Source organism: Homo sapiens, chromosome 13 (genome assembly GCF_000001405.40).
Source record: "Homo sapiens chromosome 13, GRCh38.p14 Primary Assembly".
Classification (NCBI taxonomy): Eukaryota; Metazoa; Chordata; class Mammalia; order Primates; family Hominidae; genus Homo; species Homo sapiens.
In genome coordinates this window covers 40,562,689-40,589,131 of record NC_000013.11, presented here as the reverse complement: position 1 = coordinate 40,589,131, position 26,443 = coordinate 40,562,689, and the positions used below count along the sequence as shown (strand labels likewise).

At 42.5% G+C, this 26,443-nt stretch overlaps 1 protein-coding gene across 4 annotated transcripts in view, besides 2 other annotated features; it reads left to right on the top strand.

The window, feature by feature from the left end:
* The window catches only part of FOXO1 (forkhead box O1), a 110,975-nt gene that overhangs the window by 77,510 nt on the left and 7,022 nt on the right, over positions 1-26,443 (top strand). The window contains exon 1 of one of the 4 annotated variants that reach the window (XM_011535010.3): positions 1-26,443. This exon is cut by the window's left edge and continues 14,221 nt beyond it. The exons of the other annotated variants lie outside the window; for them this stretch is intronic. The gene's annotated coding sequence lies outside the window, so the exon portion shown is untranslated. 4 annotated transcript variants of the gene reach the window in all.
* Positions 24,079-24,168: an enhancer, noted in NCBI's record as "active region_7608". NCBI's record gives its function as "activates an Ori minimal core promoter by ATAC-STARR-seq in GM12878 lymphoblastoid cells {active_cell/tissue: GM12878}" and the evidence as "EXISTENCE:reporter gene assay evidence [ECO:0000049][PMID:35858748]".
* Positions 25,051-25,804: an enhancer, noted in NCBI's record as "H3K27ac-H3K4me1 hESC enhancer chr13:41137465-41138218 (GRCh37/hg19 assembly coordinates)". NCBI's record gives its function as "activates a minimal SCP1, AML or CMV promoter by ChIP-STARR-seq in primed H9 embryonic stem cells {active_cell/tissue: H9 hESC(primed)}" and the evidence as "EXISTENCE:reporter gene assay evidence [ECO:0000049][PMID:30033119]".

Below are 26,443 nucleotides of genomic sequence, written 5' to 3'. Positions count from 1 at the left end.
CATTTATTTACTTATTTATTTTTTTTTAGACAGAGTCTCGCTCTGTCGCCCAGGCTGGAATGCAGTCGTTCGATCTCAGGCTCACTGCAACCTCTGCCTGCTGGATTCAAGTGATTCTTGTGCCTCAGCCTCCAAAGTAGCCGGGATTACAGGCATGCACCACTATGCCTGGCTAATTTTTGCATTTTTAATAGAGATGGGGTTTTACCATGTTGGCCAGGCTGGTCTTGAACTCCTGACTTCCAGCAATCTGCCCACCTCGGCCTCCCAAAGTGCTGGGATTACAGGAGTGAGTCATCACTCCTGGTCAATCAGTGACACTTTTAAATCACTTGTGTCCTTGACTCTTTTTATGTTGTCTTTATGAGGGACAGGCCCTTTATTCTACCAAGGAGACCTCCATAGTTGCTCATTCTGAATTCTTTCAGGAAGATTTGGTTGAGGGTTGTTCATTAGGCTGGGGCCTCTGCCGGGGTGGGTTGAGATTAGATGGATAACAGGAAAATAATCATAGTGCTTCCCAGCCCCTGTAAGTGAGGGGTCTTCTTAGGATAACTTTTTGGCTTGGAGTAAATGTCCCCCCCAAAATCTTAAACTCAGTTTAAGGGTGAAAACTTAAATATAATTTGTTCCTGGACTTTGGGATTCTGTGAACATTTGTTTGCTTCTGTTAGTGATGGTTATGGAGGGTTTAACCGCCCACATTTTCACTACCTTTTTAGCCCAATAAATGGAAAAAGAAAAGGTAGGCAGGGAATTTTGTTCCACTTAAAACATCAGTTGGCCTGTTCGGATTCAGGTGACTCAAGGTTTGGTAATGAAGCTAGAGAAGTCTTGTGCAGATACACTCAAACTTCCTGACTGTGCAGTTCAGGGAATTGTAAGTAGAGCCTGAGCAAGGAACACCTTGATTGTTGGAGAGGAAAGGTGGAAGATGAGCACTCCCTAATCCTCCTCTACTCAGTTTCTTTAGGGTTAAATGGGCATTTATTTAAATGTAGGATTCTGCTTGCCTGAACTCCCAAGGTTCTGTTAATTGAATTGAATCCTTTCTATCCTGGGCTTCCTCCCGCACCATAGCAGATGTGAGGATATGGAGCATAATGCAGTAGTGCTCTGTACTCTGTGTTATGCAATTTGAAAAGTGCCGTTCTAGCCCGAAAATGTTAGTGCATTGACTCTCTTTCACATGAAAGGCCTTAAAGTTTACCCCTGGAAGTCAACCTAGGGTGGCACAGAGGCAGAGACCCATTACCACCATCAACCCTCTGGCCCTTTTAAAAGGTGGGGAGAGGCTACTGTGAACACTGAAGACAGCACTTTAGTTGGATGGACTTCATAATTAATGTCTCATTAAGTGAAGACTTCCGTTTCATTTGGCTTTCCAGACCATTCGGTAGAAATGCAGAGGAATGGAGGGAGAACAGTGCATCTCAGTTGGCAGGCAGGAAGAGCAGATGTGGAAGAAGCAACAAAGATTTTCTCCAAGCACTTGAGCCGTGCTTTAGGTATAGATGGACTGTCTTTGGGGCCATCCTAGTAATCAACATGGTTAATGGCAGCTTCTCTCTCTGTCCTTGAGTCTTTTAGCAAAAATAAGTTTTTATTTGACTCCTCAAGCAAGGGTACCCAGCCTTGGAGAGGAGATGAAATTAAGATAAATCTTTATTTTTTCTTATTTGTATTTGAAGGGGAAGTTTAAAACTAGTCATGTAAATAGCTGTTTGGCTTATCTGGACTTTCCAGTCATTTTTGTTTTCCTTCCTTTCACGGATAATCAATCTTTCACTATCTGTTCGTATTTGCTTCTTATTGTGGTCTCCTGCTCCGCCCTGCCCACTCCCACTTTTTTTTTTTTTTTTTTTACTTTGTTCTGAGCCCTTCTCAGGCAGAGGAGGTCAGGCAGGTACACGTGCCTTTGGGAAGAAGGTGGTGGAAAAATATGGAATAATGAGCCCTTCTGACTTTGGATTCAGCAATTTAACATTGGTGCAGTAGGTGGAGTTATTCTTGGAGTCCCAGTTTGAAGATTGCTGTGCAGAAACCCATCTGTGCTGCTGGTTGCCAACATTTCTGGTACAAATATTGTCATTTGCTCTTGAGGCAATCTGCTATTTCAGTCCTAGATGCAGTTTTGTAATATGCTGGGTAAAATAGCAGACAAAAAATATCTTAAGTGGTGGTATAATCTTCAGTTTAAAAACACTTTAGCAATGTTTCCAGTAGAGGATTGTTCAACGTGTCTCCTTTCCTTGGCTGTAAACATAATCTAAATTCATTTTTCCTCGTTTGCCTGAGCCACGGTTCCCTTGTGCTGACTTTGCATGTCAGTAACTTCCGTACCCATCAGAGAGGAAAGACAGAGGGGCAGTCTTGTGCAGGTAAAAGGTTTAAGTAGTAACATTTCCTTAAGATTGCACCCTGTAGAGGTTTAGCATTCCATGATCATTCTGTTGATAAGCAAATGAGAAATGAGTAACTTGCTCAAAAGTTACTTGGTTACAAAAATTGTCAAAACTGATACTACACACTATTTCCCATTTGGTACCTTTTATCCCTACACACTATTTCCCATTTGGTGCCTTTTATTCCAGACTGCAAGAGTCATATCTTCTGTGCAGGCTGCTGAACAGCTTCACAAGGGGGTGCCTCTGTTGCCTGTGAGGAGTAGGTGTTCTTGATGGGATTGGGGTCTCCCTGGAAACCCGGGGATGGGACTGTGCCACCATTTTATTGGGCTTTTGTTATTAAGCCCTTCTTAGAGAGAGAAAGCATATCCTGTAGGAAGTAGTATGTTTCCTTCTGTTTCTGTGGCTTTCTCAGTTTCTTCCCATCTTGATGCATAGTGAGAAATCCATTTTACAGTATGACTCAGTGCACATATGCACACAATGATAGAAGAGTTTTACAAAATAGTACTGTGCTTAGCCATTTATGTAAGACTGTTTTGTTATTATTTACAGAAATGCTAGCCACAATCCTCTCAATTGGTTTCACTATTTTATGGATTGTGATCCAGAGTTTTAGCCTGAGGGCTTTCCCACATTCTTTCAAGACCTTTGTGTCATGGCAGCAGCCTTGAAGTTAGGGGAAACAGGTAGATGAATCCATATATGGAGAATTGGCCATATATGGGAAATGAGGAGGGAGTTCACAGGTCAGTCACTTGAACACACAATGATTTGGGCTGAGCCAGTTTTTAAGTAGCCCCTCTCTGGATTGGTCTCAAACATGGAACTAGTTAAACTTACGTACTAAATCAAACAGACCCAAAAGACACCGTTTGTTTTTTAAGTCTTGCTGGCACAGACTAGCTAGGATAGGGTTTTTCATCCATCTGGACATCTTGTCGTTTAGCTTTTGTATACAACCCTTGAAAATGGGCAGCTGCTGGGTCCACTTTCCTGGATGAGGTTTCTTGCTTCTTTCTTTTGAGATTAACCTGAGTAGGGCTCACCTGAATCAATTATTTCCGCAGAAGCTTTCATCTCATGAAAGCGCATTCCACTTTTCATGTCTTCAGGGCAAATACGAATTGCACTTCCACCCTGAAGTCAGAACTGTAAAGGAATTTTAGGTGTTATCAATGTTTGATAAGAAGTGATTACCCTTTCTCTGCAGAGCTGGAACAGCTGAAGCTGGTGTGATCTGGCTGGGAGAAGGCTGTGCTCTGGAATAGTGTCCTTTCCACTGAGTCCCTGACTTGCCTGTTGGCATATGGAGCAGTAATCTTTTCAAAACTCCATTGTGAAGTTGGCTGTGTGTGTGTGTGTGTGTGTGTGTGTGTGCGCGCGCGCAGAGGAAATACTTACATACTAAAGGGGAAAGCGGGGGAGGAAAATTCCAGGAAATTGCAAGGTGAGGTTGACATTCCTTATTCTCTTAACTCTTGCTTCTGTTTTTCTTTCTGAAAAACAATGATGACTTAAAATTTGATCCCAGAACCAACTGGCTTTTTATCCGTAAGATTACAGTTGTGTTTTTTAGACATCCTTTCATAAATATCTAATGAATTGCCTTTTATTATTTGGTGTTAATGACCAAAAGTACCACTAACATAGTGTTTCTCATACTTGCCTGTCATATAAGATACTTGTTAAGAATATTCTGGGACTTCATCTTCCTCTTGTTAAATCAGAATCTACCTGGAATAACATAGTTACCTTATTTTCTTAGAATAGTAGAACTGAAAAGAATCTTACACATGAAAGTAGTTCAGGTGTTCCCAAACCTGGCTCCAGTACCATGACTGCTTTAATAGATTGCCAAGCTGCGCTTCATACCTAGTGAATCATAACATCCGAAGCTTCCTAGAAGAGTCGGACCATTAGACTGGAGGGATAACTACTCGCTTATTCGGTTGCCTTCAGGAAAGGGGAATTTATGTGCTTGGTTATTGGGCTGATTAATAGCAGGACAAGAAATCTTATTGTCTCTGTAGATTCATCCAAATAATATCCAAATATATATATAATGTTTGTTTGAGATGGGGTCTCACTTTGCCCCCCTGGCTGGAGTGCAGTGGCACAATCACAGCTCACTGCAGCCTCAACCTACCCGGGCTCAGGTGATCCTCCTACCTCAGCCTCCTGAATAGCTAGGACTATAGACACGTGCCACTGCATCTGGCTTTTTTTTTTTTTTTTTTTTTTTTTTTTTTTTGCATTTTTTGTGGAGATAGAATTTCTCCATGTTGCCCAGGCTGGTCTTGAACTCCTGGGCTCAAGCCATATGCCTACCTTGACCTCCCAAAGTGCTAGGATTACAGGTGTGAGCCACCATGCCCAGCCCCAAATAATATTTACATTTCAGGTACTGACTAGGTAGGTGAGTGGGGGCAGTTTTGAGATGGGTGAGCAAGGTCTCTCTGCCTTGGAGGTATATGTGGATTGTTATTCAGCCTTTCTCAAGGGATGAGTTTTAGAGAGTGGAATTAGACTCACTTGAGGAGCTTTTTATTAAAAAAAATTCTAATACCCATATAAGACTGCAAACTTAACTGATAAATGTTTGTTCTCACTGCTCCACCAACCTGCCATTCCCCATCTGTCTCCCCCTCTTCAGGGTTCCCTATCCCTGAGACAAAACAATATTGAGATTAGGCCATTAAAACCCCCACAATGGCTTCTACATGTTCAAATAAAAGGAAGAGTCACACCATCTGATCTCACTCACTGTAAATCAAAGGCTAGAAATGATTCAGCTTAGTGAGGAAGGCATGTATAAAGCCCAGATTGTCCAAAAGCTAGGCCTCTTATGCCAGTCAGCCAAGTTGTGAATGCAAAGGGAAAGTTCTTGAAGGAAATTAAAAATGCCATTCCAGTGAACACAAATTATAAGAAAGCAAAACAGCCTTATTGCTGATCTGGAGAAAGTTTTAGTGGTTTGTATAGAAGATCAAAACAGTCACAACATTCCTTTAAGCCAAAGCCATGTTCAGAGCAAGGCCGTAACTCTTAAATTCTGTGAAGGTTGAGGGAGGTGAGGAAGCTGCAGAAGAAAAGTTTGAAACTAGCAGAGGTTGTTGGTTCATGAGGTGTAAGGAAAGAAGCCATCTCCATAACATGAAAGTACAAAGTGAAGGAGCAGCAAGTTATCCAGAAGATGTAGATAAGACCATTGATGAAGGTGGCCACACTAAACAACAGATTTTCAATGTAGATGAAGTGGCATTCTATTGGAAGAAGATGCCATCTAGGACTTTCATAGCTAGAGAGGAGAAGTTAATGCCAAGCTTCAAAGAACAGGTTGTGATTCTCTTATTAGGGGGGTAATGCAGCTGGTGGCTTGAAGTTGAAGCCAATGCTCATGGACCATTCAGAAAATTCTAGTGCCCTTAAGAAGTATGCTAAATCAACTCTATCTGTGCTCTGTAAATGGAACAACAAAGCCTGAGCGACAGCACATCTGTTTACAGCATGGCTTACTGAATATTTTAAGCCCACAGTTGAGACCTACTGCTCAGGATGAAAGATTCAAAATATTAAACTGCTCAATGATAATGTACCTCCTCACACAAGAGCTTTGATGGAGATGTACAAGCAGATTAGTGGTGTTTTCTTGTCTGCTAACACAACATCTGTTCTGCAGCCCATGGGTCAAGAAATAATTTTGACTTTCAAGTCTTATTATTTAAGAAATATATTTTATTAAGGCCCAAGTTGCCATAGTGATTCCTCTGATGGATCTGGGCAAAGTAAAATTAAAAATCTTCAAGAAAGGATTTAGCATTGTAGATGCCATTAAGAAATTTGTGGTTCATGGGAGGAGGTCATAATAGCAATATTAATAGAAATTTGGAAGAAGCTGATTCCAGTCTTCATGGATGACCTGGGAGGGGTTCAAGATTTCAGAAGAGGAAGTAGATGCAGATGTGGTGAAAACATCAAAAGAACTAGAATTAGAAGTGGAGCCTGAAGATGTGATTGAATTGCAGCAATCTCATGATAAAACTTGAACTCATGAGGACTTGCTTCTTACGGATGAGCAAAGAGAGTGGTTTCTTGAGATGGAATCTACTTCTGGTGAAGATGCTGTGAATGAACATGGTTGAAATGACAGTAAAGGCTTTAGAATATTACATAAAGCGGTGGCAGGGTTTGAGAGGATTGACTCTAATTTTGAAAGAAGTTCTGCTGTGAGTAAAATGCTATCAAACAGCATCACATGCTACAGAGAAATTTTTCGTGAAAGAAAGAGTCAATCAATCAGGCAAATTTAATTGTGTTGTTTTAAGAAATTACCAAAGCGATCCCAGCTTTTAGCTACCACCACCCTGATCAGACTGCAGTAATTAACATTGAGGCAAAGGCCCTCCAGCAACCGATCACAACTCGTTGAAGGCTCAGATGATTATTAGCATATTTTAACAATAAAAGTTTTTAATTAAGATGTGTACATTATTTTTTTAAAATATGGCTATTGCACACTTAATAGGCTACAATATAATGCATACCTTTTATGCACAGGGAAACAAAAATTTGTTTTTACTTTATTGTGATATTTGCTTTATTGTGGTATTCTGGAAGTGAACTTGAGGTATCTCTAAGGTAGGCCTGTATTTCATACATGAAGAAAGGCATAGAGACCAATATAATTAGTACCCATATTCTACCTCTCTGTTTTAGCTATAAATATAATTCTTCCCCTCCTTGTCCCAGAGGTAGCCACTAATTCCAGAGTTTGTGTGTTGAAGGGCACCTTTCCTGCCAGAAGCCCGTACCCTGGCTGTGCTGATAGATGGGGTCCACAAATTCTTTGTAGGATCCCCTTTTTAAAAAAAGCTTTACATAAATGTTATCATTTAAGGTAAACACCATTCTGTAACTTGATTTTCTTTAATAAAAGTCAGCATGATATTTTTGAGATGTATTGTTCTTACATGACCAGATATGGCCCCATACTTAATAGTTAAATCAGGAAATTGAAGCCAGACAGCTTGAAAACCTTCTTAATGGAAAAAAATGCAAGAAGTGGGTGGGATAGAGTTTCTGTTGAATTTTTGTATAGAACATTGTCATTTGTGGGAAACTAGTTGATTTGAATTCTGTGTTATTTTGAATAGCCTAATAACAGCTTAATGAGGATTAATTGCATGTTGTATGGAAAGTTAATTGTTTTAATTTACTATGGGTGTAGTTACTGCAGTTTGGTTCAAACAGGTGAAAGTTAAGATTTGTAGCATAAAACAGGAAGCAGATGGGGGCTAATTAAAGTTCTGTTGATGATAAAAGGATGACTGATCAAGGAGCGAGCAGCTGGTTTCTCAATTTAAACACAATTTGTACTATTGTATGAAGACAGCCCTCTGCAAGTTCTCATGAGTATCTTTCAAAGGTGAAGGCATGTGTTCCAGCAACAAGTGTGAAGGCTGTTGTGGCCCTGTTTGTGCTCGCTCCCCTTTTTTGCCTTCAAGCAGTGTCACTTCAGGTTTTTCCAAAAAAGGGGGTTAAGGGATCACAAAACCTGGCCAGATTTTCAGTGATGCTCTCTGGACACCTGTTGTGTCCCAGAAAAGTCTAAAGCTCTTTCTGTCTCCAAGAAAAGTGCCCAAGCATTTCATTTCCTTTTGTAGTTTTTCTTACTTATCTCAACTCCGTCTCTTGGCAGGCTTTCCAATGTTGTTGCCCTGACCATAACCCAAGAAGGCCCACATCTAGCTAGCGGAAGCGCCGGGTATTTAAGTGTGTAGGCGAAGGCTAAGCAGTGCTGTAGATACTTTCCTGGAGCCTCACCTTGTTCTTCAGGGTCTTTGAGCTTCTGGCCATGAGATGTTAGGGACTTGAACTTATTTTGCTTGATTGTGTCCTGGATGACTTTCACCTTCAAATGACAGCATCTTTTGTTGCTACTGCTAATAGTGATTGCGTAAACATTGAGGACAAGTGTCCTCTATGTGTTTTGCTTAAGGAACATGCCAGCACTGGGTTTTCTTTGAATGTGTGCAGGGAGGTGACATGAGGTCAGATGAGGTGTGCCTTGCTTGGAGCCAGGGGCTAGACATTTGCTTGAGATTTTGTGCCCATAATATCTAATATTTATAAGTGCTTTGTAGGATTATCTCATTTTAGTCCTTACAAAAATGCTTTGGAATGGAAGTTGTTTATCCCCATTTTGTAGATGAGGAGATTGAAGCCTGGAGAGGTAAAGTGACTCAGCCAAGGTCTCACATTTGCTAAGTGCCAGTACTGGATGTAGATTCCAGGTTTGTGTGACAGCAAGCCCACGCTCCTCAGCCACTAGTTTTGTGTAAAATTGTTGTTCTCTTTCCCCGTCTCCTGCTTAAGGAAAGATATATTGTTTCCTGGAAAAACAAAAATGTTAGCATATAGTTTGCAAACTACAACTTATTATTTGGTTATGCAGGTGTGTGTGTGTTGTATAAACATTATATATATTTCACTTGGATATATTCCACTTGATAGGAACTGCTTTGTTTTTGAATGAATATATGAGAAAGGAAAATGCCTGGGTTTTTGTTTGTTACCCCAATGTAGCAACATTATGAAAGGTAAAATGCTCTTTCTTTAACAGCAGCAGCAAAAAAGACAACATGCAAAGGTAATCTACAAAGTAAAAAGCCCCATTATATTCACCACCTGGAAGCAACATTATTGTATTCATCAAAATTGTCTTGTAAAAGAAGTAATTGACCATACAGAGCTCGTATAATTGGTAATAAAGAGCACCCTGTATTTTAGTTGCAAATAGTGTGCAATAGGTTTCAGGGGTGTCATGATTGATGTTCACTGTCAGGTGTTGTAAATAAACTTTCCAATCCCAGATGGTGTTTTTGCCTAGTTAGGTTCTACACTGATCCCACCACATATTACACTAATGGGGAAACCTTGTGTACAGGTTCCTCATCTTCCAAGCTCTATTGTGGTGACCCTAGAAACTGCCTATGTGCTCACATCATGGCTCCTAACAGCATGAGGAGGAGTGTCACAGCCAAGGCTAGAGTGTTTTCCTGGCCTGGGAGAAGTCTTAGGATTGTACCGCCCCCGCCCCCTTTTTTTTTCATTCTGCTGCCTTCTCAGCAGTCAACTTCAGAATCACTCTTCTCCTGTCTTCTTTCCCCCTTCTTTGCTTGTTCCTTCCTATACCTTGCTTGTCTTTTTACAGAAGCATTTAAGGAGATGGAAAAGATTTGGCCCATTCTTCTCCTGTCATAACTCTGCCTGTGTATTTCTGAAGATGATGTTGACTGTTGGGGAATGGGATGTAGGAGAAAGAGGTCTACTGTGGGTCTTGCTTCGCACGGAGTAATCCGACCTGGCGTGGATTGTCTGGTCTCCTCCTTCATCCATCAAAGAGTAAGGCATGGTTCAATTACTTCTAGCAGCAAGTCCCACAGAACACCTGGGCTTTCTGAGCTACCTAGGGCAGGTGTGTTATTTGGTAGGAAGTTTGGGCAGCACTGGGGCTTTCAGTGAGAGCCCCTCCTTCTACCTTGGCATAATCATAAAATCTCACCAATACGTAGCCCTTTATGCTTTTTGAAGCACTTATACCCATTACAATTCTGTGGGGCATTTAGGACAGACATTGTTTTCCTACTTTATAGACAAGAAAGCTTAGACATAAAGGATGTAAAAATGTGTCCAGTCAGAAAGATAGAGCCAGACTTAGATTTTCTTCCTCATTACCACCGTCTTGCCATTAGATCAGCATTTTCCAAAATGTGTGCTGCTGAACATCAGTTTCATGGTATAGTCTGTCAAGAAGCGCGGGCAAAGAAATGTGTATGTGCGTGGAGGGGTGTGCATGTGCATGCATGTGATCCCACCAACAAAACAAAACAAAGTCTAAGGGAACAGTTTTGCTCTTGTTTGTTTTGTGTTGTTTTGTGTACTCAAGGCTCTAAAAAACTGTACAGTTAGGAATCCTGTTTAATTCTGTGTGGCCAGAGTGTCCCAAAGGTATTTTTTCAGTGAATTCAAATCACCCTAAAAGGAACCATTATTTTGTAGAGCACATGCCGAAGAATGCTTTAGTAGGCCATAGTGTGCTGCTTTGTCCTGAAGCTACTTTGGAGGTGCTACAGGAGACCTCAATGGTTAGAGGAAAATCTGATCTTCAGGGAACTTGCAGGGAAGAGTCCAGAGGATGCTGATACACAGTCAGTGGCTGGGGATGCTTTGGGAATAAAGACTGTCCCGAAGGTGGAGTGGGATGGGAGGCTGGCTGCAGGGAATCTTTGTCATAATGTCACTATAAGCACCATGCCTCCAGGATTTCATACCGAGTAGGAATTTAACCAGAATGCACAAAAGTTCTCAATCTACAGGATCAGCATTCTAGGACCAGTTGTCAGCTTTGTTAGGTAAAGCTCCATGAACTGTAGCCTGAGTGACAGCTGCAGAGTTTATTGGCTTAGGGATGGACTTAAGAAATTTGGACCCAGTACAGCCAGCATGCTGCTGCATCTTGGCCTGAAGTTTGACAAGGCACATTCCCTGAGTGAGGCCATCTGCATCAACCCCCGCTCCACTGCCCTTTCTTTAGTACTTAATGTTCAACTTTGCGTGCAATTTTGCTTTTACTAGATGGCAATTGAGGGAAGGGTGGAAGAGAAGTTGGTGGTAAAGGTGCCAGTCAGTGGGCACATTCTGCATCCATGTTCTTAATCAGCTCTTCTGTCTTTTAGCAGAAATAGAACTTGATAAAACTCTTTTATTTTGAAGTAAGTTTGTTCCAGCCAAGCAGAAAGGATAAATTATTTTGCATTGATATCTGAAACTAAGGAAGCAAGTCTAACCTCCTAAGAACTGGTCATGGATATCACCCTTGATCTATCTTTTCTCCTCTTCTGTTCATTCTGTTTCATTCTGTTATGTTCTGCTTGGCTCTGTTCTGTTCTAGGCATTGAGTATAGATCAAAAAGTTCATGTATAATATTTTTAAATCCCGACGACAAAAACTTTAGATTAATGGAGGTGATTAGTTTACTTAGTTTGGGCTGGTGAGGAGAATAAAATGATCCTAGTAGGAGGAGTGGCTGGAAGAAGTGCTATGAAATAGGAAAAGTTAATAACCTAAGGTGTGGTGTTCCTGTCTGCAGGTATCTGTTAGCTATCCTCCATAAAGTGGTTTTATGTTCTTCTAAAGTGGACAGAGTATTAGACTCTGTGACCCATTCTACAAAATATTTGAACTGTCTGCTAAGGTTTCTTTGTTTGCTAGTAACTGTGAGTTTTAGACCCTGTCTTAAGTTGCATGGCACACACTTGGTTTGTAACAGGAAGGAAAGGAAGCAGTTAGAGGTCAGGGCATCTGGCTGGTGGAAGAAGAAAGGAGGATGGGATCTGTTGAGGGTAAGGTTAACATCACATAAAATGTTTATAATCGAATTCTGTTGTGGGGAGTGCTCATCAACCTTTTAAAAGTTTTCAAGAATTGGACCACTTGTCTTCTAGTATGCATGTGGGCGGGGGGTAATCATGCCTTTCACATTGAGGAGGAGGGGTGGGTGGGTGGGGGGAGTCTGATGCCACTGCAGCTTATCCTCATGCCCCTGCAGTACCCCACAGCCTTGGCCCTGAATCTCCTGTGCATCCACCAGGGTACTGACTAATGCATGAGTATTTTGTTGCAGCTTTATCCATGTTTGTGTGGAACAATCCATGGTTACATTGTAGGCCATTATTTCCTTTAATTTCCTTTTAGCTGTTCAAAACAACCTGAAAGATGTTATAGTTGAGCCTAGACAATGACATCAAGGAACAAAAATAAACCTTCAAAATGTAAGAACCAAATTTTTATGCCAAATCTTGTGAATGATGGATAAAATGTATGAAAGCAGTCAGCTTCATGGAGGGAGACTTTTAAAATCTGTTTTCAAAACAAATGGTCCTGGCCCCAGCATCCTGCCCTCCTTTGGCTATGAAAATATCAGATTATGCCGTAAGTTTGAAAACAATCAAGTATCCTTCAAGTCATGAGACAGAAGCCAAAGCTTGAATCGAAAACCCTGTCATTTTCAGCGAGGGAGACAGGGAGGAGGGCCTGAAGGTAACTTGTTTCTGGAGGCCCTTCTCTCAGCACTAGCTGCAGCAGCTTCCTGTTAGGTGGGAGAAGCACCACAGCCAAGGACAGCAGCTCCTGGAGATGCTTTTACTTATCAAGAGCAATGTAGATGTATGCAAAAATACAGACACCCACTCACAGTTACATTTGTGGATAATCAGAAATATCTTTCTGCTTTCCCAGCAGAGCCCAAACTCTCCTCCTATCATCCAGGTGGGAAGACAGGTTTGGCGCTTTGCTCTAGGTTCTGCATTATAACTTTACTCTGTTGTCCTCTGATCTTCCACTGGCTGTCCTGTGAGTTGCATGTAGGGTAAAAAACATGCTGCTGTGTTAAGGCCCCACCCACCGTACCTCCTCTCTCTCTCTCCTCCCTTTCTGTGTCTAAACTCATACATGGCCATACTGACCTCTTCTCTTTTCTCCAGACATACCTTACTAGTGTTTTTAAAAAAGTTTCCTCACAAACACTAATAGCTCATATTTATCGGACATTCTGCACAGTGGTCAGTAAGTACTGTTAGTATTTCCTTCTTGCAGACAAGGGAACCAAGCCCAAAGATCGCAAGCCATTTATCCAAGAGCACTCAGGCCGTAACTGGGTTTGAACTGGGCCAGTCTGGTTCTAGCACACATGTTCTGCACCACCACATAGTTTGTCTGTCAACATTGGTTCATGCTCTGCCCTACCTCAAGAATTCCCATCCCGTTTTATCTAGCAATCCAAGTCGTCCTTTGCTTCACGTCCCAATTCCAGCGTAGGGCCTTTCCTTTCTTGTTTTGCGTGTGCTGCACCTTAACGTTTCTGTGTTGTCAGCCTTCCGTACATATGTGTAAGACCATGGGAGGCAGGGAGAGCCTTGAGCCTTAATGCCTACTTGTTATTTCCACAGTATACAGTAGGGGCTTAGTAAATAATTGTTCATTGAAAATTACATTGATCGGTATTGATTTGACCAAATCAAAAGATCCTAATTTATGTTATTGAAATGTGAATGGAAATAAATTAACTTCTGAAATTGTCAGTTGATTGAAATACTTTACATTAGGTAGGCCCACAGATTTTCCAGTGACAAAAATGAAGATAAAAATTGATCTTTGGTTTGTATTCCCAATAAAAATAACTGACACAGGGTCCTTTGAGACCCTTCCTCCTTGGTGCCCTTCACTCCACCTACCCCCACCCCTGGCAAGTGCTCTAACACTGACTTGGGCAGGATGAACTGGACATGTTCAGTTCCAGTCCTGATTCTCTGAATGGTCCCTTATTTATTTATTTTTGTCACCCAGGCTAGAGTGCATTGTTGTGAACTTGGCTCATTCCAGGCTCAACTTCCTGGGCTCAAGCTATCCTCCTGCCTCTGCCTTCTGTGTTGCTGGGACTACAAATGTGCAACACCACACCTAACTTTTTGATTTTTTTTTTTTTAATGTAGAGACAGGATGGTCTCATTGTGTTGCCCAGGCTGGTCTTAAACTCCTGTGCTCAAGCAATCCTCCCTCCTTTGCCTCCGAAAGTGCTGGGATTACCGGTGTGAGCCAACATGCCTGGCCCAAATGGTCCTTTTAAAGTCTATCATATATTTCTGTCAGAGACTTCATGAAGATAGACCTCAATATATTGGATAACCATTTTAGTCTTCAAAGTAGCTATAAATTAAGCTAGGAATAGCAAGCAATTTTCGAACAAAATATTTCTTTAAAAGAGTTTTCTAGGTTTGGCTATTTATTATGTGTGATAGATTTTTTAAATGATTAAAATGTGAAACTTTTCTTTTTGGGGGTGGTAGGGTACCACTGAAGAATGATTGTTTTACACTTTGTTCAGTCAACAGCAGTTCTAAGTCATCCATTGCAATCTTAACTAGGCTGTCAGAATTTAGCTAAATTAGTTTTCTCAGTAATCAAAATGAAAATAAATTGAAATACCAGAGACTACATGTTGGTTCAGAGAAAAGTGATCTTTGAGAGTTGAAATGCTGAAGTAATCTGTTAGACTGACCTTACTGCTCATCTCTTTGTTATATAAGTATCTGTGACAGTAGAGCCAATAATTTCTAATAAAAACCTTGCATTTTGTTCTAGAATATCATGAGTTTATAGAATAATTCTCGAATATGCTTGAAATTGGTAGCATTCTTCACATGTATAATCTGTTTTATGTTTTCCAAACATGTTCTCATTTAATCTTCACAATGCACCATTCAGTTATTTGGTACGGAGACACCAGGGCATCATACAGCTCAGATTCACACGCGCAGTAATGATCTAACTTGGACACAGACATACACGCCCTGACTTCTAGTACTCTTCCTACTGGACCATATTGGCAACTTCGTAGTTTTAAGAGAAGTAGAGAAAAGGCATCTCCAAATGTGCTAATACATACATTGTGGTGGAAAACTAACAGCAGGTCAGAGTATCCTTTTTAAAAATTTTTTATTTTACTTTAAGTCCTGGGATACATGTGCAGAGTATCCTTGAATAGTAGCTTGGAAGAGATAAAAAAACGTTTGTACTTGTGTGCAAGATTCTAGCCACAATAGTTGATATTCAGTTCCCTTTTGGAGGAAATTGAAAGTGAAAACGCTGAAACAATGAGGACTAAAATTCCAAAGAGGAGTTTAAGGTGTACCATCGCAAATTATTGGCTTGTGTGGGAGATTCTAATTTTCTGTTGGTTTGAGTCATCCTAAAAAATGGTTCATTTAATCATTCATTCCTTCTGCCTTTGCTAGTTTGCCCGAAGTTATTAAGATTATCTTTGTGTTTTCATCCTCAAACACAAATGTGTATTGCGCATAGCCAGTGTGTTTTAAAAGATCAAGACTTTTCTTAAAATGATGTCGATAACTTCCAAAGGCAACTGTGAGGTTTTTTTGTTTTGTTTGTTTGTTTGTCGTTTTCTTTTGTTTTGGTCTTTGGAGGTTTATAAAGATAGTCTTGTCTTAACGTATGACAACAATATCATCCATGTTTCCAAAAAAGACATGATTCGAACTGCAGCATTAGAATAAAACATTTAATATTTAATACAAGGAACACTGTCCATATGGTAAGGTTTGCTTAGTCATTCAAGTGGGGACCCTCAGGTGGTTCAGGGATCCCTTTTTTCCTACCTGACATTCTCCCTTCTCTCTGGAGCCCAAAGAATTCCTAGTGGGATGTCCTCAAGTCATCTAAATGTGGTTCCAGGGCAGACTCAACTTGGAGCCTTCCAGAATTCCTTTAGCCCAGGAGTGATCTTGGGGAAGCACATTCTTCCTGGGCTGGCTTGCTTTGACCTGAGACTGCATTTAAGCTGAAAGTCCTGGTGGGCACCTCTGACACAGATGTGCCCACATCTGGTGGAGTGCCAGTGACTGCGCAGTGGTGAAAGCTGCTCTGCAGGCTTCTTTTCTGCTCAGTGGGTGCTGAGTTTTCAAACAGACATGAACATGCAGCTCTCAGCACAGGTGCTTCCACTGGGGTGGAAATTTGGCCTTACAAATAAGCAAAATGTAGGCTTCATTCATGTTAGGTGTGTGCTGATGGGGATGTGTGGCTTTAGTGTGGGCACATTGAGGAGGGCCAGGAGGAGTCATGGAGGCTTTTTAGGTATGTTAATGAAAGCAGCATTACTGAAACATTTATGTGAGCTGCTTTTGGAGTCCCCAAACACGCCTGGGCTTCTGGTGATGCTGAGGGAGCAGCAGTTTGTGAGGGGGACCATGTCTTTTGTATTACTTAGAAGGAAGGTGTGGACAGCAGGGCTGTTGCGCAGCAGACCTACTGTGTCTTAGAGTGTAATTGTGCTCTGCCTCCTCAGGTGGATCCCTGATGTCTGTGGGAAGCTGGGCCACAGCCCTGACTTGGGCTCAATCTCTGTGATGGTGGGAGTTTCTCTTTAGCATAAACCTGGGCCCAAATAGTTTTGCTATTATTGGGTCAACCCATTTGGGAAGCTATTTGATTTGAGACAACCTTTGAATAATATTTGGGTGGTATATAAACAAACATATATATTCGGCAGTCTCGAGTCGTTGTTGCATTAGGCTTCCTAGACAGAGTAATGGGCAAGCTGGTGTCAAGATTCTACGTAAACCCTACAGGAAAACCCAACATTGCAGGTAGTGTAATTCAGAGTGTTACACTTTATTGCAGTTTGCTGTTGTTTTTGTAATCTGGATTATCATATCTAGGTCCCAAAATAGAAAAAACACATAAATCTAGACTTGGTACTCTGTTTACTAAGAATTCTTAGTAAACAGACTATGCGAAAAAACACATAAATCTAGACTTTGTACTCTGTTTACTAAGAATTCTTAGTAAACAGACTATGTATCCAATAGATAAATTCTTCCCTAGATTTTCCAGATAGCAAACATATTTAGGATAAAAACAGTTCTACGTAGTACATGCTATGGGTGGGATATTGTCCTAGGGATTTTAATCTGTCAAAGTTTCAGTGTTCTTGCTTCTGAATTTATATCCATAAAGTTTTTCACTGGCTTCTGTAAACAATTCGGGAACATACCTTGAATATACATTTACCTAGCATGAACAGGATTAACAGGCTCATCAATGTAATGCTGACAAAATACTTTAAAATTCACTTTAGTCCTTTAAAATTTTAGAAAGCTTTAAAATGGATCAAAGTATTGGTATGGCTATGCTTTATTTTATGCCTAATTTAAATTCTTCATCAGAAGAGAGTAGATCCTAATGCGTTCTTTGTTTTTGGTTTTAACTTTGTTGTGCCTTAGTCTTCTGGTAGCCAAATAGATAAGGTAGTTAATTGCGTTATAATGCTGTGCGTTTATAGGACCACTGCAGATTAGAAAAATTGTATGGCCTATAAAACAGACAAAGATTTTCATTAGGAACAGCAGAATTACTTCAGCGTCAAATGAGTTTCCTCTTAATATTCTCCTGTGGTGGGGCCTTTTGCATCTGAGACAGCCATTAGGCGGAAGCAGCAAAAAGCATGGGTATTCCAGTAGTTAATTCAGTCGAAGTTTCAGGAAGGCCCCTTTAGGTCACTGATGGGCAAGATGGGGGAGTTGTGGCTGTCTGCTGTGGATTTGGCAGTACCTGGCCTCTGTGCCTCCCTGGGGAGGAGCTGGTGAGTGGGTTAAAGGGTCCCCAGGGGTAACTGCAGGCTGCATCAAAACTAAATCAATCCTAGGGGAAACAAGCTCCACTTTGAAATCCTTGGTAGCCTACAGATCTCTTTTTTTATTTACTTTTTTTATAGTACTTTAAGTTCTAGGGTACATGTGCACAATGTGCAGGCTTGTTACATAGGTATACATGTGCCATGTTAGTGTGCTGCACCCATTTACTCGTCATTTACATTAGGTATATCTCCTAATGCTATCCCTCCCCCTTCCCCCCACCCCATGACAGGCCCCGGTGTGTGATGTTCCCCTTCCGCCTACAGATCTCTTCAAACAAGGCATTTAGAAGAATTTTAGCTAGATGAAATTTAGTCTCTGGATATCCACCACAGGGACCTTATTAGCTAGGGTTGATGACATTCATTTGAGAGCTGGCCTTGTTTGGGTTGTGTGGTATCATTAAACCCAAGCGTATGACAGTGTGAGATAGTTTCTGTTTTCCAGGCTTTGCTTAAATAGGGGTCCACATTAGCACCTGATACAGAGGGGTTATAGAAGGAAAGTGATTAAGATGAATGCCTTGTGATCTGGAGCTGGTGTCTAAGGGGATTGCTCGTTTCTGCCTCACCTGGATTGTTTTGGGATTTGTCTTTTTGGGGTAGTTTGTTTCTGATAGTGCATAGAGCCCATAGTATTGAATGGTACAGGAGACTTCCATTTCACTTCCTGAAAATTAAAGGGCTTTGCCCTTCCTTTCACAAAACTGTAGATTCCTTTAATACAGGGTTCTCATGTGGGACACAGTGAAATTTTGTAGTGCTGCTTTTTAATTACTACCTTCTGAAATGCAAAAGCTTTGGTATGGTGTAATATCATTAAGTACATTTTCTGTTCTGTCCCTGAAGGGGTTTTCTTCAATCCTAAATGTATGAGGTTATTGGCTGAAATGTTACTCTGAAATATTTAGACCTTTGGCTAATAAAGATCAGACAAACCAGAGAACATCCTCCGTTGTAAAGCTTTCTGCCCCCGGTCTTGTGGGCTAGTGGTGGCCCCCTTCTTCCTTCTTTGTTCCTCAATACCGTAGTCCCATTTACTTGTAACGCACCTCTTTTGTCCTGTAGTACGTTCTTACACTCCTTGACCTCCTCACCTCTTAGGGGTCTTTTTTTTATTTTATTTTATTTTTTTTTTTGGAGACAGAGTCTTGCTCTGTTGCCGGGCTGGAGTGCAGTGGCGCGATCTTGGCTTACTGCAACCTCCGCCTCCCGAGTTCAAGCAATTTTCTTGCCTCAGCCTCCCAAGTAGCTGGGATTACAGGCACGTGCCACCACACCCGGCCAATTTTTGTATTTTTAGTAGAGGGGGTTTCACCATGTTGGCCAGGATGGTCTCCATCTCTTCACCCTCGTGATCTGCCTGCCTCGGCCTCCCAAAGTGCTGTGATTACAGGCATGAGCCACTGCGCCTGGCCTAGGGGCTCTTTTAGAGTTTGTTTTCCATAAAGTAAATAGTCATGGGTGACTAGTGTTTGTGAAGAGATGAGAAAGAACATCATTCTAATAATCACCATCCTGGATATAATTTGTCATCAGTCCAGGTGCAGTGGTGCAGGCCTGTAATCCCAGCACTTTGGGAGGCTGAGGTGGGAGGATCAGTTGAGGCCAGGAGTTGGAGACCAGCATGGGCAGCATAGCAAAACCCAATCTATTTAAAAAATTGTTTAAATGTAAAAATTAATCTATTATCAGACAACTGCTGTATCTCCCTTAACTTGAACAACATCCTGGACACACGTGTTCTGACATAGGTCACCTCAAAAACCGACAGAATATGCTAGTTAAATGCTCAAATTCTTTCATTTAAAATTTTCTTAACAGGGAGAAAACACAATTTTTCTGTAAATGACGGATTGCAGCTCGGTTGTGAGGACATTGGAAATAAGCCTGAGGAAGGCTGGCTGCCTTTAAACAGGAAGTTTGTGATGAGTGACTTTTAATCAAGTTACAACCATTCATAATGGCTTAAAAAATTGTTGTTTATGTATTCTTTCACTTCCTAAAACAAAATAGCCAGTGTTTATTGTCATTGTGTCAGGTGATGCACCAGGCAACTTCATGTATATCATGTATATCATGCCATCCGTACATGTAACTGTTTTACAGATGTGAAAACAGGCTTAGTGATGAGATCCAGGACCTACTCAGAAGGGCCCAGCAGTAACTCTGCCTCCAGAGCCGGCACCTCCGGTTCTGCCTCACAGTGTACTTCCCAAGTCCATGAAGCTTCTCCTGACACCTATGAGTTCTTCCATTTGTCTTTTTAGTACTATTTGACATGCAAGCATAATCTCCTACATTCCTTTTGCAGTGGATAGTCATATTTTCCCTTCCTTTGGAATGACTGACTAGAGTTAGAGATAAAGCTGTGTAACTAAATTTGTGTCTATAGCGGTTTGAGACCATAGGTAAGGATTGGCTTGGCTAGGGGAGGAATATTGCATGTTCTTGGTACTTGTTTTACATTTCTTCCAGTACTAAAGCTCCATGTGGTTCTATTTTTTGTAAATGAACACCCATAAGTTTCCCATCTGCGTTGTAATCTCTCTGAACTTTGTTTCCCTAACATAAAACAAGAGCGTTAGACCAGATGACCTTCGAAGTACCTTCCGGTTTTACCAGGCCGCCAGTCTCTGTCCACAGCCCTGGGATCAGTGGAGATGCTTTAAGACCTCTGCACAGTGGGGGTAGCAGTGGGGGGTATAGTGGTCTTTGAGGATATTCGGGCAAGAAGGAAACGATTCTGGGAAATGAACCAGCCTTATGGAAGGATCTAGGGTGTAAGCATGTAGATTAGCTATTCTCAGCAGATCTTGTGTTAAACACTTTCTAACATTGATTTACATACTGTCTATTGCTAACGTGTGTCTACTGACAACTCTTGTAAAAAAAGGGTTGGCAAAAGGTCATGTTTTCCTTCTGTTTGCAAACAAAATGGATTATTTTTAAAAGTTGTTGTTTTATTAGTAACTCTTAATGGGAACTCTGTTGAATAGATTTTCCTAGTTCAGTTTGTTTTCACTTGTGGAAGTGCAGGAAGAGCTGGTGTAAAAGAGAGGAAGGAGGAGGGAGGGAATAAAGGCCATGCCGGGAGCCTGCATAACAATCGCACACATTGAGAAAGTTCACAGAAATTAGATTAAATGCTTTGGGAAAATGTAGTTTGTCTAGCATTTTGAAAGAATTTCTAGAATTTCTGGGACAATGAGTTCATTTAATCATATGTTCCAGTTTCTGAGTGTGAAGTTCTTTTTGTTGGATTTGGTGGCTGTTGCTCACACCTTCACGCAGGGTGGTGGGCAGTTCTAGGTAGCTGGGGGTCTCTGGGGACCTTTCCGCTTTCCCTGTGAGTCCCCACAGGTTTTCCCTAGGATGATGCTCACATCTGAAATGCACGCTTCAGCTGCTATGGATTCCTGCCATAAAGAAGAACCCACTAGAATAAGAGCAAATCACATTGTGTAAATTTTTTTTTTTTAAGACGGAGTCTTGCTCTGTTGCCCAGTCTAGAGTGCAGTGGTGCGATCTCGGCTCACTGCAACCTCTGCCTCCCAGGTTCAAGTGATTCTCCTGCCTCAGTCTCCCGAGTACCTGGGACTACAGGTGCCCACCACCATGCCCAGCTAATTTTTGTATCTTTAGTAGAGATGGGGTTTCACCATATTGCCCAGGCTGGTCTCGAACTCCTGATCTTGTGATCTGCCCTCCTCAGCCTCCCAAAGTGCCAGGATTACAGGTGTGAGCCACCACGCCCGCCCACATTGTGTAAATTTATCACCTGTTAAGGCAGAAAATGAGCTTTGTAAACTAGTAAGCAGAATTATTTCTGCTCCCTCAAGGTGCACACAAGTAACCTCAGCCTTAAGTATGTTCCTTTGATTCTTCTTAACAGTGGTGAAGGCAAGGGGATAGTTTTTTCAGCCAGCAGTGGGGTTGCAGGTAGAATCACAGAGCTTTGCTTTGAACCCTAACTGGACAGATCATTTTCTGAGTCTTAATTTTTCCTTTTCCATTTCTAAAGTGAAGCCAGTAATACCTGCCTTATAGGGCTGTTGCAAGGATGGAATGAGATGTATTGACAGCAGTAAACTATAAAATACATAGTTTATATAATAAACTATGAAATAAATACAAAAATATAAAACACGGGGTATGAAGGCCATCTAAGGGTTTCATGAGCAAGGTGTATTCAGCCTTAAGTTGAGGTTTTGCATTATTTTTGGTTAAATATAAAGACCAGGGTAATCATAGAACTGCCAAGCAGAAAGAAATGTAGAATGTAGCAGTGGTGTGGAGACCCGTGGCTGACAGGTGGTGGTCTTCATATAGGCTGAGGGACAGGCTAGATGCATGTCAAGTGGCAGCTCAGGTTGGAAGACAGGAGTTGGGGATGTGAGAGTCCAGGCCAGGGTGAAGAGAAGTGGCTGGGAAGGCAGCCAGGCTCAGCTCTTAGGAGGCAGAGAGCTGCAAGCAGAGGGTGGGACCAGGTCTCTTTTTTCAACCCAGTCTTGAGGGATGGGGGCAAAGTCAACCTAGACTTGATTTAGAGCTAGTTCTGTTCACTTGATCATCTTTATTGGGCCTTCAGGCTCCTAGAAGACTACCGTGATAGACTGACTAGTGGTCTGTAAATGGTTTTTATTAAAAAAATCACATACCCTTTTTGATAAAACATGTATTTGTTTATACACTTTAAATATATTGTGTAATTATATAATACATTCACAAATAAGAATTTTAAAAGAATGAGATAAAAAATTTAAAGTAGGCCAGGCGCAGTGGCTCACGCCTGTAATCCCAGCGCTTTGTGGAGACTGAGGCAGGCAGATCACGAGGTCAGGAGTTCGAGACCAGCCTGGCCAACATGGTGAAACCCCGCCTGTACTAAAAATACAAATAATTAGCCAGGCGTGGTGACAGGTGACTGTAATCCCAGCTACTCAGGAGGCTGAGGCAGGAGAATCGCTTGAACCTGGGAGGCAGAGGTTGCAGTGAGCCAAGATCAAGCCACTGCACTCCAGCCTGGGCAACAGAGTGAGACTCTGTCTTTAAAAAAAAAAAAAAAATGAAAGTCAATGAAAGTTGTAAAGATTTCATCCTGCACTTCAGTGGCTGATGATTGCCTTAGACAGTGGGTCTGGGAGCATCCTGGGGAGGGCATGTGTCCTCAGGGGTCTCTGGGGACCAGCCTCAGCACCTCACTTCTTCCAGCCACAGAGACAGAACATCAGAACCATCCTTCATGGAGCTTCCCAACTGGCCTGTTGAGGTCCCTGCTCTGCCAACCCCTGCTGCTGCTCTGCACATGCTGGCTGTGTCCAGAGCTCGGAGGCCCCTGGCCCCAGCAATGTGTGATGCCTGCACATGTGGCTTGGCTGCAGCACCTTGAGAAGACTTAAATATTCTAGTGACATTGGCTGACCAGGGCACTGACAGCCTCACCTTAGTATTTGAATCAGTTCTGAGGCAATATCTAGTGTCAAGAGAAAAATGAACTGTTTTTCCCAAACCAGTCAATCTTTCCAGTAATTAACATATAAAAAAGCCTCATGTTAAGTGAGAGCAGTGCAGTGTGTGGTTATAAAGAAATAAGACTAATGTTTATGACATACATAGGTCTGTAAAACACAGACATATGTTATTTTATGGATGCTATTATGCCAGTAGTGATAACAGTAACATTAGCTAATAGAGATTAAGGTAAGCCTTTCCACGCATACTATCTCATTTAATCTTTGCACCAACTTTGTAAATGTAGGAAATACTAATCTGTTCAACAGATACTTGAGTGCCCCTATGGTGTTGGTGCTGTGAGGATACAGTGTACAAGAAGACAGACAAAGGTCCCTGTGCTCACTTGAGCAGCTCACAGTGTAGTGGGAAGTCAGGCATGCCCCCCCACCGCCCCAGGGATCAGACATAGTGGAATCATAAAGAGGGGTGAGTAAGTAAGGTCCCATGTTAGAGCTGCAGGATGGGATGAGGTCATCAAGAAATGCTTCTGGAGGGGCCAGTTGGGCTGAGACAGAAGCTGGGGCATGGAGGGCAGGGTGGCAGCCTTTGGAGAGAAAAGGTCCGTGTTCCTGGACAGTCTATGGGTTGTGTCATCCTATTAAGTGGCTCTTTACGTGTACTTATTTTCTCCCCAGGTAGATCAAAAGCTTCTGGAGGGCATGTTCTGTGTCTCATTCCTTCATGTCTTTCGCTACTCCTTCCACAAAATAGTTTCCAGTAAATGTTAGTTGACATGAATTGGTACTCAAATGGATGGTTAAAAGATGTGTATTGTGTAAGACACCATATCTTCCTTGTAATTTTTTTGGGGGTCAAGCAACAAACAGTTATTGAGGCTATGATATTAGAAATTAAAGACAAGCTTTAGCCCATTTGCTCTTTAAGGAACTCAGAATCTGAACATAGAACAGCCAGCAGAGCAGGTTGAACAAGCAAGTACACCATGTCGGGGTTCCCCGACTACACCATGTCGGGGTTCCCCGACTCCCCCATCTGTGGAGCTCATTGGGTCAGGCTTCCCAGGAAGCACATGCTGCACTGCTTGGGGTGGCCAGGCATGCAGATGGCAGATGGGGTGTGTGCAGAGGCTTGTGAGTGGGGCTGCAGAGAAACAAGCTAGTGGAGAGGAGATTGGCTGGCTTGTGTTTCTCTAGTGCCGTCATGTAGAAACGCTGGATTTGGGCAAGTGATTGACAGGGCATGAACCTCTGTCCTGACATCCTGCCTCTGTCCTCAGGTAATATTTGTTGAGAGTTCAAGGGCATAATATTTCAGAGCCCAGCAGTCTCACGCGGCTCTGCTGCGAAGTCCTTCTGGTGAACTGCTCTTCCATCCAGCCTCTCCTGTGGCCAGTAGGGGAGTGCAGACACAACGTCGTTAATAGCAACACATTTTTACAAAATTTACCTTTTCAAACCCCACCCCCTAGAAACCGTAGCTTCTTTAATGTCCCGCTGGCTGTGTGAAAAACAGGAATTTATGTAACAAGTCCTGCACAGCAAACCTTTTCCTGTTCGGAAAAAATTTTAATTGTTGGCAAAGTTAGGAAACAGCTCTGTTACTCAAAGAGCGACCTGAAATGTCCTCTTAGAAAAATATGTAATATGATGTTTTGATAAGTAGGAGACTGCTGTGGCTTTTTTTTTTTTAAAGTCTAAATTAGTATATGTCCCACCTGAGTTAGTGAACGCTTCTTGAATGTTTTAAAGATTTCCTTATTATGTCTCCTGCAGTCTTTTTAAAAATGACCCCCAGCTGGGCTTGCCAGTGATCTGACAGGCTTATCATGAATGTTAGAGAGCTTCACCCCCTCTCCCCAAGTCAATGCAACAACCAGGAAGCTTCTATCTGGGAAGATCTTTCTTCCCCCTTTATCATTAACTAAATGTGACAGGGACAGGAGTCAAGCTTCCTCTCCTCCAGAGATTTCATCGGAGCTTATCTGTGTGTCTATTGTGTTCAAAGAACAAAACTGTCATGATGGAATATTGTGCAAATGCCTGGACTTCCAGTGTATAGAAAATGTCAGGGTCAGACTGCAGGGCTGCATTCCAGTGCTACCCCAAGTGCGGGCCTGCTGATCTTAAGGAGGAATTAAGAACTCGGTTCGGCTGGGGTTGGTGGGTACAGCAGACAAGGCTGTGGCTCTGTGAGCATACATGTGTGTGTGTGGCGCCTTCCCATAGGAATTTGGGGATCTTAGGGGAATGCAATAGGATGGGAGGGAAATGTACTCCCTGGCCTCTTTTAGGGATTCTTGTACCTACTCTAAGCCCCTGGCCCTCCTCACAGCGTGTCTCGAGGTGAGGGTAGATCTTGGGTGTGGAGGAAGGTGGGGATTCTTGGGAACAGGAGACAGTCACTGCCATCACCACACACCTGCTCCGTTCCAGCCGGGAATCTGGGGCTCCGGTGGTGTCTTCCCCGCTCTCACACTTCACTGTATGCTCTGGCAGGAGGGCTTGTCACGTAGCTGCTGTGTTGAAATCTTTAGGCGGAATGCAGTACAGAGAGTCAGAGGGCGTTTTGAAATGTGGATTTCTCAGCCCTGACTGCTGGGCCTTACCCTGACTTTTGCATCTCCCTTTAGAAAGTGAGACCCCTCCATTTTCTCTCTTCTACCACCTTTTAATGAGAGAAGACTTCTCTCCCAGTTTGTGTTGGAGCCAGGCCTCATCCTGCTGTGCAGAGGCTCTGCTCAGGCGCAGTGGTTGGCACTCGGGCCCGGGCGTCCCATGTCAATGGCATGAGGATGTGGGCGCTGTGGCTGCACCCCTGGGTGACCACAAATCCAGCCAGAGCCTTTTTGTGGTTGAGAAGAGGGGCCGCAGAGATGCAGGGGGCATGGTCAGCTGAGCCTTGCATCCAGTTGGCAGAGGAGGCCAAGAAAGCTGGGAGACTGTGCACATTCCAGGGTCTTAGGGCACCCAGAATCCCACTCCTTGGGAGCAGACCTCTGAGGAAAGAGGCTGCTGAATGAACAAGGTGTAGTGGCTGTGTGCCCTGTACTGTGCTGGGGGCCAGAAGCTATAAGACAAGGCCCTTCCTTCTGGGGAGCTCACAGCGTTTCCCTCGTCTCCTTTTCCACGTGTCCCACGGACTCCCCTGAACACCATCTTACTCTGTGTTGTAGAGGAGGTGAATCAAACCATGGCTTTCTCATCTGCAGCCTGGCTCTGGTGTTTCTGCTGAAACTTGGAGAGACCACCTCTGGCCCCTTTCACCATATATTTGCAGTTGTGG